This window comes from Homo sapiens, chromosome 9, assembly GCF_000001405.40.
Source record: "Homo sapiens chromosome 9, GRCh38.p14 Primary Assembly".
NCBI classification, from domain to species: domain Eukaryota; kingdom Metazoa; phylum Chordata; class Mammalia; order Primates; family Hominidae; genus Homo; species Homo sapiens.
Window position 1 is genome coordinate 101,555,544 of NC_000009.12, and position 19,082 is coordinate 101,574,625.

A 19,082-nucleotide genomic window follows, 5' to 3' on the forward strand; every position below is an offset into this window, starting at 1 on the left:
TCTAAGAAATAGCAAAATAACAGTGAGATGGAGTAGGTTTAATGGTAAGTTGATCATGAAGTGCCTTGAAAAGAAGAACTTCATTAGATCCTATACACATTCCTTTTGTTAACAAGTGTAATTTTGGGCTGGGCGCGGTGGCTCATGCCTGTAATCCCAGCACTTTGGGAGGCCGAGGTGGATGGATCACCTGAAGTCGGGAGTTCAAGACCAGCCTGACCAACATGGAGAAACCCCATCACTATTAAAAAAAAAAAAAAACAAAATTAGCTGGGCTTGGTGGCGCATGCCTGTAATCCCAGCTACTTGGGAGGCTGAGGCAGGAGAATTGCTGGAACCCAGGAGTGGAGGTTGCAGTGAGCCGAGATGGCGCCATTGCACTCCAGCCTGGGCAACAAGAGCAAAACTCCATCTCAAAAAAAAAAAAAGTGTAATTTTGACTTTTCTTAAATCTGGTAAATGCCACTTTTTTTTTTCTTCCCTCTCTCTTAAGGTAATTATCAGGAAATTATACTATTATAGGTTCTAGAACAAGTAAAAAGAAAGACACTATGTTCTTGTATACGATGACTATCTTAAAAATGTTCAGTCTTTCTAAGTTTATGTATTAATATAATGTGATCTCATAAAAGTGCTTTTTTTAAGTTTTGCTTTTGTTTATTTTGGTACTAGAAGAACTGGTTTTAAAGTACATGTGGAGAAGTAAACAAGAGTAACAAGAGAAATTGAAAAAGAACAGCACTGGGGTCTCTTCCATATATTAAAACATAAAGTTTCTGTAGATGAAATAGCTTGGGACTACTAGACAGGCTATTAGAACTGAATAGAAACTTGAGAAGTAGTTGAAAGTACACATGATACTTATTATGTGCTAAATACATAGTTTTAAATCAGTGGGGAAAAGAAAAACTGTGACATGTGATGGGACAAAATTAAAAAAAATAATGTTAGAGAAAAGTTAGATACATACTTGAATACACTAGGATGATTTCCAAATGGATCATAGATATGATATTTTAAAAAATGCATCCATCAAAAAGCTAGAAGAAAACCATTAAATTCCTTTATAATTTGGAGTGGAGACCTTTCTATGAATAAAAGGCTAGAAAACATGAACAAAAAATTGATAATTTTGAGTTATTTTTTAAAATGATGCAAAACTTCTACACTGCAAAAAACACTGTTAGCAAAGCCAAAAGATTAAATGACAAAAAGTAAAAAATATTTTTAACTTTTATTACAAAGAAGGCTTATCTGATACAAAAAAAACTCTCCAAAATAGGGAAAAAAACTCAAGAATCCAGTGGAAGAATAGGCAAAAGAAATGAGTTGGTTATGGAAAGAATACAAGTGGTCTTAACCATATGAAAAGATGCTCAGTCTCACTTAAAATGAGATAGATATAAAGTAAAGCTATTATTAGATACCAGTCTTCACCTATCAGATTGTTACAAGGCTTTAGATGTTTGCAACTGCTGGAAATCCTGTAGATCCAGTATTTTAATTGTGGAAAAGCATGAGAAAATGTGAGAGGTTATGATGGAAGTACTCTTAACCAATTGCTGCTTGATCCGTTTGTCTAGATTAAGGTAAATACAATTATTGTCTAATTTAACTGACGTTGAGTACAGATCAACTAATAAGTATCAGACCAACAATTGGTGCCAGTGACTTCAGATAATAGAGCTTCTGTATGCCTAGTGACAAAACACAACTTCTTAAAACTCTGTCACTAAATTAATTTATATCTAAATGAACAGTGGGAAAATTTAGTTTCCTGTGCTCTTCCATTGAAGTTGGAAGATTCTTCTAAAATCAAATCTCTTCCTTCATCCTTTAGGAAGAAGAAGCACTCCTCTCTGAAATGGATGTCACAGGCCAGGCCTTTGAAGACATGCAGGAGCAAAATATCCGTTTGATGCAGCAATTGCGGGAGAAGGATGATGCAAATTTCAAGCTCATGTCAGAGCGTATCAAGTCCAATCAGATCCATAAGTTGCTTAAAGAAGAGAAGGAGGAGCTGGCAGACCAGGTGTTGACTCTGAAGACTCAGGTAATTAGGATGAGTAGAGCTTTCTATTCTGTTGAAATAGGGTGCTTTCTACATGATGATATAAGTAAAAGAATGATTATTGTGGCACATTTTTGTGATTGGAAAAAAATTTGAAAACTAAATGTTCATCATTAGGGTATTGGTAAATAAATTATACATCTCTACTGTTATTCCTACAAAAGAGTACAGTGTACTTGTCAAATATGGATCTGCTAATATGGAAACATGTCTGAAATAAAATCAAGTGACGTGTTTTGTTATCCTTTTTGCGTTAAAGTATATGTTTACTTGTGTTCCTGTGCTGTATATTTTAAAAATTTCTGGAAGGCTGCATGAGAAACTGTTAGAATTGTTACTTCTGGATATTGGGATGAGTTGTGGGTGAGGTTAGGAGGTATGTGTGATTTTACTTTTTTTTTTTTTTTTTTAAATTTCCATAGGTTTTGGGGAACATGTGGTGTTTGGTTACATGAATAAGTTCTTTAGTGGTGATACCAAGATTTTGGTGCACCCATAACCCAAGCAGTGTACATTGTACCCAGTGTGTAGTCTATTGTACCCAGTGTGTAGTCTGTTGTCCCTTGCCTCCCTCCGCCAAGTCACCAAAGTTTATTGTATCATTCTTATGCCTTTGCGTCCTCACAGCTTAGCTCCTACTTATGAGTGAGGACATACAATGTTTGGTTTTCCATTCCTGAGTTACTTCACTTAGAATATTGGTCTCCAATTCCAATTCCATCCGGATTGCTGTGAATGCCATTATTTTGTTCCTTTTTATGGCTGAGTAGTATTCCATGGCGTGACTTTTCCTCTGGGTAGATACCCGGAAGTGGGATTGCGGAATCAAGTGGTAGGTCTACTTTTAGTTCATTAAGGACTCTCCATACTGTTTTCCATAGTGATTGTACTAGTTTACATTCCCACCAACAGTGTAAAAGTGTTCCCTTTTCATCACATCCATGCCAACACCTATTATTTTTTGATTTTTTGATTATGGCCATTCCTGCAAAGTGAGGTGGTGTTGCATTGAGGTTTTGATTTACATTTCCCTGATAATTAATGATGTTGAACATTTTTCTTATGTTCGTTGGCCATTTGTATATATTCTTTTGAGAATTGTATATTCATGTCCTTAGCCCACTTTTTGGTGGGATTGTTTGTTTTGTTCTTGCTGATTTGTTTGAGTTCCTTGTAGATTCTGGATATTAGTCCTTTGTTGGATGTATAGATTTTTTTCTCCCACTCTATGGGTTGTCTGTTTACCCTGATGATTATTTCTTTTGCTGTGCAGAAGCTTTTTCGTTTAATTAAGTTTCATCTATTTATCATTTCTTTTGTTGCATTTGCTTTTGGGTTCTTGGTCATGAAGTCTTTGCCTAAGCCATTGTCTAGAAGGATTTTTCCAATATTGCTTTCTAGAATTTTTATGGTTTCAGGTCTTAGATTTAAGTCTTTGATCCATCTTGAGTTGATTTTTGTATAGGGTGAGAGATGAGGATCTAGTTCCATTCTTCTACATGTGGCTTGCCAATTATCCTACCACCATTTGTTGAATAGGGTGTCCCTTCCCACTTTATGTTTTTGTTTGGTTTGTCAAAGATCAGTTGACTACGTATTTGGCTTTATTTCTGGGTTCTCTATTCTGTTACATTGGTTTACATGCCTATTTTTATACCAGTACCATGCTGTTTTTGTGACTATGGCTTTATAGTATAGGTTGAAGTCAGGTAATGTGATGCCTCCAGATTTGTTCATTTTGCTTAGTCTTGCTTTGGCTATGTATGCTCTTTTTTGGTTCCATATGCGTTTTAGGATTGTTTGTTCTAGTTCCGTGAAGAATGATGTTGGTATTTTGATGGGAATTGCATTTCATTTGTAGATTGCTTTTGGCAGTATGGTCATTTTCACAATATTGATTCTACCCATCCACGAGCATGGGATGTGTTTCCATTTGTTTGTGTCATCTGTGATTTCTTTCAGCAGTGTTTTGTAATTTTTCTTGTCGAGGTCTTTCACGTTCTTGGTTAAGTATATTCCTAAGTATTTTATTTTATTTTTTTTGCAGCTGTTGTCAAAGGGTTTGAGTTCTTGATATGATTCTCAGTTTGGTTGCTGTTGGTGTATAGCAGAGCTCTGATTTGTGTACATTAATTTTGTATAGTGAAGCTTTGCTGAATTCATTTACCAGTTCTAGCACCTTTCTGGATGAGTCTTTAGGGTTTTCTAGGTATATGATAATGTAATCAGCAAACAGTGACAGTTTGACTTCCTCATTACCAATTTGGATGCCTTTTATTTCTTTCTCTTGTCTGATTGCTCTGGCTAGGACTTCCAGTGCCATGTTGAATGGAAGTGGTGAGAGTGGCATCTGTGTCTTGTTCCAGTTCTCAGGGGGAATGCTTTCAACTTTTCCTTGTTCAGTATAATGTTGGCTGTGGGATTGTCATAGATGGCTTTTATTACCTTAAGGTATGTCCCTTCTATGCTGATTTTGCTAGAGTTTTAATCATAAAAGGATGCTGGATTTTGTCAAATGCTTTTTCTGCATCTATTGAGATGATCATGTGATTTTTTAAAAATTCTGTTTATATGGTGTATCAGATTTATTGACTTGTGGATGTCAAACCATCCCTGTATCCCTGGTGTGAGACCCACTTGATCATGGTGGACTATCTTTTTGATATGCTTTTTGAAGGCAGTGTGAGAAACTGTTAGAATGGTTACCTCTACATATTGGGATGAGTTGTGGGTGAGGTTAGGAGGTGGGTGTTTGTGATTTTACTTTTTACACTTTAATATTGTTTGATTCTACTTTGTGCATTAATTTCAAAAAAGACTCTTTTAGAATGTCTAGCCATTCTGAAGGAAATACTCTTGGACTTTTGTTTGAGTTCTAATTTATATGTTATAGTATGAATTGCCAGGTTTTAAGCATTAGCATGCATTCTCTATTTTTGGCAATTTGGAAAAGAATCTTTTCAGTCATTTTTCAGACTCTTACTGAATCTTCCACAATATTTTATATTAAAAGTAAAGCTTTCAGTTATCATAGTCTTGATGTATTTTGAAGGGTTCATGGGCAAAATCAGTAATAGTTTGAGATTTCTAACATACTGTATTTTGTGGGCTTATAGATTAACAGAATAGTTTTTTTTCTTTTTTTAATCTTTTCATTTGTGTTAAAATCTGATTTTCTGTTCAAAGGTTGATGCCCAGCTACAGGTAGTAAGGAAACTGGAAGAGAAGGAGCATCTGTTACAGAGCAACATTGGCACAGGGGAGAAAGAGCTGGGTCTTAGGACCCAAGCCTTAGAGATGAATAAACGCAAGGTATGATTGATTAATCTAATGATGGTTAGTCTCAGTGGAACAAATAAGTATAACACTGTTGAGATTGTAAGTTCGCTTTATTCCTTCAACTTGGGCTAACATTTTGCCTCACTGGCAATAATAGGTGATACAATGGTGTCACTTATTTGTACATCCTACATAGGCAATGGAGGCAGCCCAGCTTGCAGATGACCTCAAAGCACAACTGGAGTTGGCTCAGAAGAAGCTACATGATTTTCAGGATGAGATCGTGGAGAACAGTGTTACCAAAGAAAAGGACATGTTCAATTTCAAACGAGCCCAGGTAAAAGCAGTTGTCTTTTCTTGTCACCTTTTAGGTGTTTTCTGAGGTCGGAAGTGACCCATATCATGAAAGAATCATTAGTCCAATGTATGTCATTTCCTACTAGACTTGAGGAAGTTTGTTGAGGGAAGAGAGTAAGTCTGTTTTCTTCACTGCCATATCCTCAGACTCTTTTATGGTGCCTTGCACCTAGTAGGCACAAAATAAATATTTGTTAAATTAATGAATTAGTAAATTGTTAAAGAAGTAACAGCATAGCAGCAGTAGAGGATTTTCAAGTTCTTGTATAATGTCTCTATTTTTGTCATGCTAGCTGTTTCTCATGATGTCTTTCTGTCTTTATCCGTAAGTCTCTGAATTATTTTAAACCGTTCTACCTTCAGCTTAAAACTAATTACTATAAAACAAAATAGACTGTCCTCTAAACTCTTAGATGTGTTTTCACAGGACTGAATTGGTAATAGATGCAATTCTAATTTGGGGATATAATTATGGTTGCCTCTTCTGAAACAAAAGAAAATATCCTGCCATTTGCAGTTCTCTACATTTCTACAAGATAATTGACCATAAAAGGATAGAAAGTCCCCTCTTTTCACAACAGAAAACTCAAGTCTATTATTTTTCTCAAAAATGATAGATTTGGGTAAGTGTGTCTAATGGGTATGCTATCCTGCCACAGGAGGACATCTCTAGACTTCGCAGGAAGCTGGAGACCACAAAGAAACCAGACAATGTACCCAAGTGTGATGAGATTCTGATGGAAGAGATTAAGGATTACAAGGTTAGAAAAAATGCCTTAGTGATTAGTTTTTTGTCAAAGCTTTAAGTGGCCTAATAGACTGGGAGAATAATTTGCATGATAGTAACCAGAGAATGGTTTATTTTGGAGGTTGGGGGGAAATGATGCTCTTTTTTTAGTGCCTTGTGGGTTTTCTTCTTGGTTGTGTAGTATATGAGAGCCATTTGGATCATAAACTTTCATGGTTGTTCAAACTCTGACATCTTTTCTTTTTAGGCACGCTTGACCTGTCCGTGCTGTAACATGCGTAAAAAGGATGCTGTTCTTACTAAGTGTTTTCATGTCTTCTGCTTTGAGTGTGTGAAGACACGCTATGACACCCGCCAGCGCAAATGTCCCAAGTGTAATGCTGCTTTTGGTGCCAATGATTTTCATCGCATCTACATTGGTTGATCTAAGTCAAGAGAAGAAGAGGAGCTGGCTAGTCAGGAACTTATTCATTAACCACCAAACCTCTACCTCTTCTCTCCTTGACTGTCACCTGTAGGACAGTTTATCAGTCAACTACCTTTCCTCCAGACTTTACTTCCAGGCTCTCCTCTTCAGTAGCTGGATGACTTTAGCAGAAAGGACTGGTAAATACAAGCCTTGGGTTTCAGAATGAATTAGAAACAAATAACTCTTACTGTCTTCCCTCCCAGCTTTGTTTATTTTGTGCTTTTAGACTTTTCAGTGTTTTCTTTTTCCAGCCCACTGTATAAACTTGGATTGTCCATTCCTCCTGAAGAAATCAAGTTGGTATTTTTGATGTGGAAAAGGGAACAAAAGTGGAAACATGGCTACTTTTGGGGAGTGATATTTTAAAAAATAAGTTGTCTATGGGCACAAAGTTTTCTTCATTTGTGTAGCAAACTTCTTGTGAATGTGGATTACAAAATGGTATAATTGTGCTACTCTCCCCTGGGTGGTTTGCAGCCCTAATGAAATTATGTCTAGGATGATTCAGTCTATTTCCCATTTACTAGCAGAGTAACTTGTTAAGATCAGCTGGCTTTCTTGTTAAAGTTATTTAAGTTTTGAATGCTCTACTACTTCAAGTCTTTAAATTTCTTGAGACTAGAATAATTTTAAATAATATGACCCTTTGTCTTCTAATGAAATAAAGATTGAAGAGGTTGAGTCAGGACTGAGCTGGTGAAGAAATCTTGTGGGTATTCTGGAAATTTGATACGGAGAGAACTTGGTGAGCTATGAATTACTCTCAGTCTCCTTTTTACAGGGTTGTTGTGATCCCTCTTTTCCAGAAAATTCTGTGGAATGTTTCTGTAGGACTTTGTTCTCCACAAGCTTGAATTAAAGCAGGATTCAGTTTGCATTTGTGTTTATGGTTTTTCTTTGAAACTTTTGTCTTTATTATTACAAGTTGATTTTATATCTGCTGTTATAGAATTAAATTTTCTTGCATGGAAATAATCAGCTTAGGTTAAGAGGTTGGCCTTGTTTAGAGTATTTAGATCTTTGCTTAATTGAAGCACTTTTCTCCCAATTCTTTTATTGAGTCTATTCTATGGAGAAATTATACCTAAAAGATTAATTTATTTGACTACTCAGTTATCTTTCATAGTTCATTAGGTGGGGTAAGAGACTATAATTTGTTTTTTGGGGGAGCATATTGCTGCCTCTAGCTTTAGGGTGAGAGTTCTTGCATTATGTGGTGGGTTTTTTTTTTTTTTTTTTGAGATGGAGTTTTGCTCTTGTCGCCCAGGCTGGAGTGCAGTGGCACAATCTTGGCTTACTGCCACCTCCGCCTCCTGGGTCCAAGCAATTCTCCTGCCTCAGCCTCCCGAATAGCTGGGATTACAGGTGCTCACCACCATGTCCAGCTAATTTTTGTATTTTTAGCAGAGATGGGGTTTTACCATGTTGGCCAGGCTGGTCTCAAACTCCTGACTTCAGGTGATCCACCTTCCTTGGCCTCCCAAAGTGTTTTGATTACAGGTGTGAGCCACCATGCCCAGCTGCATTATGTTTTATAATAACCAGCAAACCAGAGGTTTCATAAATCTCTGGCAAGGGGTTGTGTAAAATGGATCCTTCTTGATCACCACCTGTCCTAGAAGACAGGTAAGAGCAAATTCTGTGTCTTTCTGTGGTCACCAGCTATAATCAGCAGGATTTGCACTGAATTCCACAAAGTCATGTGGTATGAATTAAGCAATGAGTCTAATTGAAGAATCTTACTAGGTCATCAAGAGAGGTCATGGGTCCCTTGATCCCCCTGCTCAGCAAACACCCCCACCCCCACAGAACCATCATGACAGGATTAGCTCCTGCTTCTGGACACAGTGAGTTTTCATTTAGTAATAGGACACTTTCCCCTTGCTTCTTGCTCTTCTTATAGGGTAAGCTTGAGCATAACTTTGTTGGTTGGGTGCAGATATACTGCTTGGTCAACAGGTGGTTTGGGCTTGGCTGTTGGCTGTTTGTGACAATTGGCTGAGAAAGCCAGCTGCCCAGCACCAGGGGACCATAGGGCCTGTGGAATGTTGTGGAGGAAACCACTAGCCCCATGGGAAGTTGGATTTAGAGGAAGTTCCTCTAGTTGAGATGAGCAGGGAGCCCCTGATCCCAACTGGCTTGAGGTCCTGGCAACACAAGTTGAGCTCTCACAGTCATTTTCAGATAACAACCAAAAATGATGGTGATTTTTTGGCAGTTGGCTTCTCTCACTACAGAAGAGGTCAATGAATGCGCTTTAGGAATACTCCCAAACTGCATACCAAATTTTATTTGTATTGTATGTACATTATTCATAGCTTTTTTGGATCCTAGTTAGCAATCACAGCCCTTGATCCATATGAACTTTAAAGGGTAATTTCTTTAAGGTAATGCTTATAAATGCCAATTTCAAAGATTATTATAGAAGTCCTAGAGGCTTCTCATTTCTTAAAAACACTTCAGGCTGGGTGCAGTGGCTCACGCCTATAATCCCAGCAGTTTGGGAGGCTGAGACAGGAGGATTGCTTGAGCCCAGGAGTTTGAGACCAGCCCAGGCAACATAGGGAGACCCCGTCTCTACAAAAAATTTCGAAAATTAGCTGGCTGTGGTGGTGCACACCTGTAGTCCCAGCTACTTGGGAGACTGCAGCGGGAGGATAGCTTGAGCACCGGAGGTTAAGGCTGCTGTGAGCTGTGATTATGCCATGGACTCCAGCCTGGGTGACACAGTGAGACCCTGTCTCAAAAACAAACAACAACCATTTCAGATTTTGTAGGGATGGTCTCTCTCTCTCTTTTTTCTTTCTTTCATTGTTACCTTGGAAATTTCTTAGTGACTTTGACCAAAGTCAGGTGTGCTCTGAGGCATGCATAACTACATGGCTTGGATCTTACCTTCTTACTTACTATAGGGATCTTTTTCAAAGGTATTGAGCTGTTTCTGCAATTGTTTTCTTACATGAATTTCCATTGCAATTCCTTTTCCTTTTTCTCTGTCCAGATCCGTAGGCTTCCTTGTTCTTCAAGGGCCGGAATTTGATGCACATAGTTTAATGTACATGCCACTAGAGTGATGACTGTGATTTGATTTTGTGAAGATTCTAGACAATAAATAATCATCAGTCTTCTAAACCTACTAGGATGGTGATGCTTACACTTGCCGGAAGCATATGCTACTCTCATCTTTATTCCCATTGTCATTTGCTAGGATGTGGAATGCCGTTACATATTGTTCTTTGAAGATTTATCTGAGGACTGCCAGATAAACCCATGTCCCAGTGGATCTGCAGAAAAGTTTTGATTAGTCATTATTGCAGAAGTCTGCTTTTCTGATGTTAAGACAGATACACTGAGATTAGTAGAAAAATGGTGGATTATGTGTAGGTTGGATTGGGTTTGCACAATAGGAAACCCATGACATAGAAATACTTACAAATTTTCTAGATCTTAAAGTTTGGAAATACTTAAAAGTGGTCCTATCAGAAAGAATGAGCTTTACCTTCTGGGATTCCTGCCCATGTTTGGTCTGTTCCAAATGTTAGCTATTAAGGTCTTACTTATAGCCTACTTCACAATTACTAAAGGACATGAAAAGGACAATGTCTTAACAGTCTAATCCCTAATATCTAGCAGAGGCACATAGTAGTCAGTAAAGTTTTTCATGATTAAATTAATTCTGCTTCATGGTTCTGCTGCCAGATCTTCCGAAGTCTGCTTTACTGGGCCAATGTGTGATTCAAACCTTATTACTCTTTCTTTTTTTCACCCCCTAAGTAGAAACAATCTTTCCCCATATATCGAAGTAACCCTTCAAATTTGTATTATCCAAAAATATATGACTACAGTTTTAATTTATTTTGTGGCAATAAAAGGAATTATTATGAATTCTAAAACTAACACTTCTGTAGTGGCAGCTCATGAGACTGCTGAGTCTCATGTAGCTGAGACTTCACTTACTGCAAGGCACACATGATAACCACTACGCTACGGAAACCTGCATAAAAGCTTCATTTATTGTAAGTTAACCTTTTTTTTTTTTGAGGGAAGCTATGTTCACATTAATATAATAATAATATGCTCTGAGGATATTAGAGCTGAAAGGGAACTCAGACCATGTCCTTATTTTAGAAGTGAGGAAATAGGTTCCAGGGCCACTCAGGTTAGCCACAGGATTGAAATGCTACTATGAGAACTCCATTGTTCTTTTATCCCAATCGGAGACCTGTACTAATAGAGTACATGTCATCAGGTAGACAATAAGTGAAAATACTTTCTGAGTCATTTTGAAGTCTTCTAAAGACTTACATATACCTACTATACTTATCCTTGATCATTCTAATCTAACTAGACTCTTTGCCAGGCCCTGGATTAGAACTACATTTTGTTTCTGAATTCACTGAGTTCCTTTAGCACCTTGTTGTAGAGTAGAATTGAATCAAGGGATCTTAGATTTCTTCCTGCTCTCCCAATCATATGCATTTGCTGAGTGCTTATTGTGATTCCAGGCATTGTGTTAAATATATTTCTCATGAAGTCCGACTTGCCTGCGTATGGTGCTGCTACTTATTAGCAAGTTACTTCATGTCTCTATGCTTCAGTTTCTTCATCTATAAAATAATAACTACATCATAGGGTTATATGGAGGATGAAATGAATCATCATACAGGAGACATTCAGCACAGCGCCTGGCACCTAGTAAATGCTCAGCAAATGCTAACTTTTATAATTGTTGAGCAAATAAAGAAATTGATAGATCAACTTTCGTTTCCACCTACATTTTCTTATTTCTAGGGAAAAAAACAAAACAAAACAAAACACTGACATCCTCCCTGAAATCTAAGACACACGTTTATCCATGTCTGTCTGTCTCTAGTCTGCCTGTCCTGGTAAATGATGTCATGGCCAACTCATTCCAAAACTTCAAAAAGTTAACTTTATCTGCTCACTGTCCTACAACTAAAATGCATGTGAGTGACATCCAGCTCCACCTGGTGGTGAGGATCCTGTTCTTTTACTAGTTGTCTCTTCAGCTTAAAATCCTTTAGTGGTTCCTGTAGTCTTCAGGACACAAATCCAATTTAGCACAAGTGATCTTGCCTCTGCTTTTCTCTTTCCAGTTCATATAGTTTGTCATCCACCTTAAGCTGTGTGTTTCTATTATATTAAATGATTTGAAGGTCCCAGTTTCTTGATTGCCATGGTTTCCCTAATCTGGAATTTTGTACATGCTTTCTTTTAGTTTAGTTGCCTGTTACCCTCCACTGAGTCTCTTCACCTCACACACCTGCACCCACATGCACACATACACACAGTGTTTTCTTCACTCCAATAGTACCCGTTGTGCATTTCCTTATTAGAGTACACACCATAAAATGTCAGTTTGTGTCCTTTCATTACACTGAGCTCTATGGGATCAGAATCTGCTGTTTTTATCTGTCTATTTCCAGCAACTAGCCCCAATGCCTGGGTACAAATAGGCATCCAAAATATGAATGATTGAGTAATGCAAAAACACCCTTAGGTAAGTAGGTAGTTGAATTAAGTTATAGTGGATTTACATTTTCATGAGATTTGATTGTTTCTATTCGGAAAGAATGTGTGTGAAGAAGGCAACAGGCTAGCAGATTCATGAAGGCAAATTTGCCTGCAGCTAAAACTGCTTGGGTTATCAGAAACTGCCCATATGTCTGGGACTGCAGGGCTGCTGCTGATTTGTAACTGTGTTTGCATCAGTTCTTGGTTGGGCTAGAAAGCAGAAAGAAAAGATGCTGAAATGCTATTTTTATGAGACATAGGTATTACAGTGTTGAGTTAAATGGACCAATGAAGGTGCAGTTACAATATCCGCTTCTCTCTCTGTTCTGTGGAGCTAGGGGCCAGGCCGAGGCATGGGAAAGAAGCAGTAAGGCAGAAAGACTAAAAGGGGATTCAAGGAAGAATAGAAAATTGTGAGGCAGTGACCGGAATCCTGTATGGTTGTACAAATCTCTGTTACTATTACTAGTTCTGCAACCTTGGGCAAGTTACATAGTTTCTCTGACTCTTGTTTTTTTATCTGTAAACTGGAGGTCTCATTTACCTACTTAAGACTACATCTATAGTGCCTATCTTGTGGGGTTGTTAAGATTAAATGAGATCATGGTTTATAATAAGTACCCAATATATGTTAGTTGTTACAGTATTACCTGTTTATAGGTTGTAAAAAGGTCAGATTGAGGGTGGGCGTGGTGGCTCATGCCTGTAATCCCCACACTTTGGGAGGCCGAGGTGGGTGGATCACGAGGTAAGGAGATCGATACCATCCTGGCCAACATGTTGAAACTCCATCTCTACTAAAATACAAAAAATTAGCCAGACATGGTGGCAGGCGCCTGTAGTCCCAGTTACTCGGGCGGGAGGCTGAGGCAGGAGAATCACTTGAACCTGGGAGGCAGAGGTTGCAGTGAGCCGAGATCATGCCACTGCACTCCATCCTGGTGACAGAGCAAGACTCCGTCTCAAAAAAAAAAAAAAAAAAAGAAAAAAGGTCATAAGTTAGGGACCATACCTATCTTCTTCACTATTGTGTCTCCAGCACTTGGCACGTACATGGAAGCTGTTTAGCAAATGTTTGTCGAATTACTGATGAGGGTGATCAGTACAGGATTTTAGAGACCTCTGAACTTGTGCTTTTTCCTGGAATGTCTATCTCAGATGAAGCCATTTCAGTTCTACTTCATGATGCCTGAGCTCTGAGATTTCTCAGCATATCTTGTGTTTCTTCTTTGGACTATAGCAAGGAAATAAGCATAAATCATAGCATTAATGGGTCTCCTATTAAGAAGGAACTGGTATCATGTCAACATTTGAATCCCCAAAGACAAAGCCAGCAGTACATCCAAAAGTGAAGTTTCTATCTGAACATTTATTCCACAGTCATAGAAACTGAAGATGGAAAAGACCTGAGGACATCTAATCCATCCATGTGGTTGTACAAGAAAAGTGGCTGGAGCAAAACAGCCCGTTCACTTCATGCTCACAAGACAGCATTTCCGTTCTTCCTGGAGCGGAGCGATTGCAAACACATTAAAATGAAGACACAATGCAAATACTCTTCACAAACCTTAAGAAAATACTTATAAATACATTATTTTCATAAAATGATTAGTAACTAAAAAAAAAGAGTGAGGGAATCCTGGATTAGATGGATAGTTTAGGTGGGTAAAGAAAGGAATAACTAAACAGTATAGATAGTAAAGTAGTATTAATGCCTAGAAAGCAATTTCTGAAGAACTGGATGGGTTTTCTGTTTTTCCTATCAAAAATATGAGTTGGGAGAAAAAGAGGCTCTAAAGTAGTTTCTTTCCCCTTTATTCTTTACCCACACCAAGGAAGTGCTTAACTTGCTCTAAGGCTCTAACAGACACAGCACCAACACTGAGAAGTCTGTTACCCAGATGATAAGGTCTGTTCTGCTTGGCACTTGCTCCGCTTACCACTTTTCTGGCTGGAAGGGAAGCAGCAGCTCTTGATAGGGTTTGTGCAATAGCAAGATTCATGAATAGCAGAGAGTCATCTCCAGGCACATTAAAGACCTCGACTGCTTGGGTCCCTGTGGCTGCTTCACTTGGCTGTCCTGGTTATTCTTCCAATTTGTTTTTAAATTTTGGGAGATTCCCCTTTCTCCTCCACCTGGAAGCATACACACTCTGGGGCCTTGATTATTCTTATTTACACGAACCAGGTAGCTATATCTGTTCCAGCTCATCTGAGCATGCTTTATCATGTGCTTCCTGTGCCAGAAAAGCAAGGTAGCGTCCCTTATCTCTTTCTTCTTTACCAGAATACCACCCTCTATCTGAAGGCTTCTGATCTTTGTGTTTTTTTTGAGCCTCAAAGGAGTTGAAAGAACAGAGGCAGAGCTGAACGGAAAGGAGGTTTCCAAGGACCCACCATTTCATGACATCATTTTACAAAACACAATACACTGTTTCACAAATTGCAAAACACTGTTCAGTTACTACCAATAAAAATAACCATTGCTACTTAACATGAAGACTGCTTCGTTTCACCACAAGCAATTATGGTTTTTCTTTATTCAGAACATAGAGGCATTTCAAGCAATGTTGATGGCAGTAAGCCTGCTGTCAGCCCCTGCTGCTGCTTGCTGCATCCTGGCCAGTGTTTTGGCCAGGTAGTTCCTCCAAAGATGTTTGAGGAGCGTGCATTGGTCATCTACTTTGTGGATAGGCAGGGCGATCTGGCATGTGATCACCACTGCTCAGAATGCCTCACTAGAGAAGCTTAAGGTAAATCCGATATACAAAAATGCAGACTTACAAAACAGATACATTAAGGGATAATTAATTGCATTACAAAAGGGTGCTTTACTTTACAAAAGAATTCACTTCTGGGTTCCCTTAAACAGCCAGCTTCTCAAATACAGTCAGAATATGAGCTGAGTTACAAAAATGTCCATGTACATTAGGAGCATGGCTGTAATGTGGATTGAGGTACACCTGTACATCAGCCTTCCGGGCTGCACAGAGGTTCAGGGGCACGCAGAGCATGGTGGCAGAGTCTCCAGCATTCTTAGCTGGTACAAGTGGGTGGGGATGGCTAAGGGGCAAAATCTTCCAAAGGCAGTTGCAACCTACTTCTGGGCCTGGGGTGAGAACGTGAGGGGATGGGGTGTTTCAACACAGAACTGTCCTTTTGTGTTTTCAGGGCTCACCTGTTTCCTCATTATTGAACTGTTTCATCTGTGGAGTTGGTGACCTCTAACTTTAGAGCCCTCCCACATCCATATCAGTATCTCTGAGCCTCCCTCCACTCCAGGGTTTTCTCAGCCAATTAATCACTAGGTGTTATCTAACTACAGCTTAAGTTGTTATTCCCTGGGTGACTGGGTAGATTTTGGTGGAAATGCAGACATTTCATCCAGTAGTAGAGGGAGAAGTTTTGTGACTGAGACACCTTTCCAGTGATCTCCAGCTGTAAAAGAGGAAAGTGCTTGGCACAGCTCCTGAACTTATTGTAGGCATTCAAATTGGTTGGGGGTGGAACAATGAGTCCTGAGAAGATAAATCAAGTAATTGATAAATAAGGAAGTCTTGTCCTAAATGGTGCCCAGGGGTGGGGGTGAGGATGTTGAAGGAGAGTCAGCAGATGTGTGCTAAAATTATTAAAAAGCAAAACAAAACAAAACAAAACTTCTCAAACAGGTTTTCTCTTCATGCTTCTCCTCCTGCCTGTGGGCAGCCAAACTTCCAGAATGGTGTTTCTAGAAAAGTAATTTTTAGACCACCTGTGTCAGTCACTTGGGGGTGTTGGTTAACAGTAGGTTTCTGAGCTCACCTCTAGACCTCCACCCCCAACCCCATAATCTCTGGAGAAGGGTCTTGGCAATCCGCACTCTGATGAGTTCTCTACTAGATGACTCTTATCTACATTGACATTTGAGAACTGACCCATATTCCTTTCCCTTGCTGCCTAAACTTGATATGCTGAGAAAGTGACACCTAAGCAGAGGGGAGGTTACTTGTATCAGTCTTTGGGGGGCATTAGATGAGGCTGGAGGATCATTAGAGGGACCAAAACCAGTTCATAGCTCCTCAGAGATGAGTGGGTGTGAGGATGGGGGATTGACTTGATTTTCTATACAGATATGCAAAGTGCAGGGCAGATTCCTGAATGGTCGAAGCTTATAGTGTTCCCGGGCTGGAGGTTTTGGGATTTCTATGCTAAGCGATGGGTGACTGCTGATCTGAAAATGGCCTAGTGTGTGGTGTGTAGAACATTTCACCCACAGTGTCACATATTCCATTATAGGCAATAAGGGATATTCCAGGTCCAACCTAAGGCCACAACCTTGCTTTGCCTTTTTCTCTCTTTTCCTTTATAAAAGGCACACACCATAGTGGAGATGCTTAGTTACATTAGAAGTAGTCTTATTCATTTTTTAGCCAAATTGCCTTTCTGGCCCAGAGCTTTTGTTCTGAAAGCATGGTATGCATTTTTAATGCCTCTGCTGCCTGTCTTCTGTTTCCGCTTACCACATCCCCTCCCCTTTTCACAGTAGGGTGTAAGCATGCTCTTACTAAACAGTCAGGATGGAGTCAGAGATCCAGAACCTTCTCAAAAACATGGCTCTTGCCTGGTCCAATCAATCCTTGACGTTTATGATACTAATGAGTTAATTTTTAAATACCCCACCCCCAGTGGGAGGTGCTCTGCTCTTACCTGCTCCCCATTCAGAATGTAGGAATAAATCTAGATCGGGGAGTTGTATCAAAAGCTACAACCCTAGATAACCTCGTTCTGTGTTACGATGAAAACCAGCAACCCAGTAAGACATAAGTGTGAGTAACAATTTTATCTCTTGTTGGTAGTGCAGAGAAAGGGCTAAAAACCAGAAATATTACTGTGGCACCTGGTGAAAAGGTTAACGGCAGCTGGGGTTATCTGGTTATTCACAGATCTCTCGCACAGAGCTTACTCCTGACTAAGATTCTTGCTAGAAAAACACTCCTACCCTGGAGACCTAGAGAGTGAGCTTGAGAGGAGCTGCTGCTGCACTTTAGGCGAGGGAGAGCAGACTTGACCTTTAAGAAGACCTAGACCTCAGCTTCCCCACACCTTTGTCGATAGTTACAAAAGAGCATTACAAAGTGTCTCAAGGGCTCAGAGGAAGGTCAGGAACTGAGAAAGGGAAGCAGTGTGGTCACCTAGGACTCACAAGTCCGACTTGTCCTTTGATACTCCTCCAGCTCCGTTTTCCTGCTCACAGCCAGCTGCAGCTCCTGACGGATCACCTGAATCTGCTTCTCGAGCTCTGAGAGTTCCTGCATCACTGAGTTCCGAGATACATTTAGGGAGTCTGCTTTCCCATTGGTGGTCCGCAAGGCAGGGAGCTCTCTTCTCCTTGGAGGGAGGGGGATGTCCTGGTGGATCCGGATGCCCAGCTGGTTTTGTCCTTCCTCATCACTAAAGATGTATTTCCGTCGGTTGTCATGACTCAGATTGGAAGTATTCCATACGGTAAGCTGACGGGGTCCCACATTAGACCTAGGAAACAGAGAAATTTTAGATTTACTTTCCATTCTGCAGCTCTCAAGGTGCTGTCTTCATCTGTTAGCCATTTCCTGTGCAATAATATGGAGCTGGGTGTGCATTTAGAGATGAAGTAACAAAGCCATGGACAGACTACCTGCTAGGGTGTCATGGGGCAATAAAGAGTCATGAACATACAAAAGTTCAAGTCCCATGCTGCTCTGAAACTGGAATTGGGTGTCATTTGAAGGGATGATAGGATGGGGTATGGTGCATTTTTTTTTTTTTTTTTTTTTTTTGCAAACAACCTCAGGTGGCTTTTAATTTCCTTTCTGCAAGGGAAGCTCAGAAACTAGCCACACCTTGAAACGTTTGATGATTTGAAAGATGATGCTTTAATAAAAGCAAAATCTATTTATTCACTTGTTGGGTTCTGAGCATCAACCTGCTGACAGATCTCATAACATGGCTCATCCTTAGTCCCACAGGACCATCCTGATGTTTACTACTTGATCTTGGGGAGAAAAAAAGCATATAAGCCACAGGTCTCAGCAAAGTGTTTCTTACTATAGGGATGATTTTTATGTGAGTTGAGAATGACAGGTCAGGTCCGATGCTTAAAAAAATCCCGAGAAAGCCCTCAGTTTCTTGCTGGGATAATGAAAGTCATATAGAAAGCAATTTGCAATCCTGTTTTAGGCTTGCATCGTATCACCTACTACCATCATGGAGAGATGGCTATAGACAGCATGAGAATTATTGCCAAATAGTCACAGGGGAAGGCTGATCCTGTTTCTGAAATACACTTTGATACTTATGAGATAAGGAGAGTTTCTCACTACAAGAATAGATTAGAGCCCTAAGCAGCATAGCTGCTGATTTTTTCCACCATAGGAGAAGAAGCAGGAGGAGGAGTAGGAGGGTTATGACAACTTTTGCAATCTACCACAGGACAAAACTAAATAGAAACACCCTACCAAGCCATTGTGTTTTTGTTCCCATTCATGTAACTGAATTGACTTTTTTCCTGGACTCTTACTTGCCAGGAGAAGGGGACAATCTGGAAGGAGAAGGGGAAAGAGAAGAATAATAAAGTCTTTATGTAAAAGTGGCCATAAACCTTCTTT

The 19,082-nt window shown here is 39.5% G+C and overlaps 2 protein-coding genes across 4 annotated transcripts in view; one reads left to right on the forward strand and one right to left on the reverse strand.

The window, feature by feature from the left end:
• Nucleotides 1-7,801, forward strand: part of RNF20 (ring finger protein 20) — a 29,492-nt gene extending 21,691 nt beyond the window's left edge. For all 3 annotated transcript variants that reach the window (XM_011518862.2, XM_047423594.1, NM_019592.7), the window contains 5 exons: nucleotides 1,841-2,053; nucleotides 5,258-5,383; nucleotides 5,547-5,687; nucleotides 6,367-6,468; nucleotides 6,703-7,801. In XM_011518862.2, coding sequence (XP_011517164.1) covers nucleotides 1,841-2,053; nucleotides 5,258-5,383; nucleotides 5,547-5,687; nucleotides 6,367-6,468; nucleotides 6,703-6,879 — 759 coding nt within the window. In that variant the 3' untranslated portion in view covers nucleotides 6,880-7,801. The remainder of the gene's footprint in view (nucleotides 1-1,840; nucleotides 2,054-5,257; nucleotides 5,384-5,546; nucleotides 5,688-6,366; nucleotides 6,469-6,702) is intronic.
• The window catches only part of GRIN3A (glutamate ionotropic receptor NMDA type subunit 3A), a 169,296-nt gene continuing 164,022 nt past the window's right edge, over nucleotides 13,809-19,082 (reverse strand). The window contains exon 9 of the mRNA NM_133445.3: nucleotides 13,809-17,970. Coding sequence (NP_597702.2) covers nucleotides 17,631-17,970 — 340 coding nt within the window. The 3' untranslated portion in view covers nucleotides 13,809-17,630. The remainder of the gene's footprint in view (nucleotides 17,971-19,082) is intronic.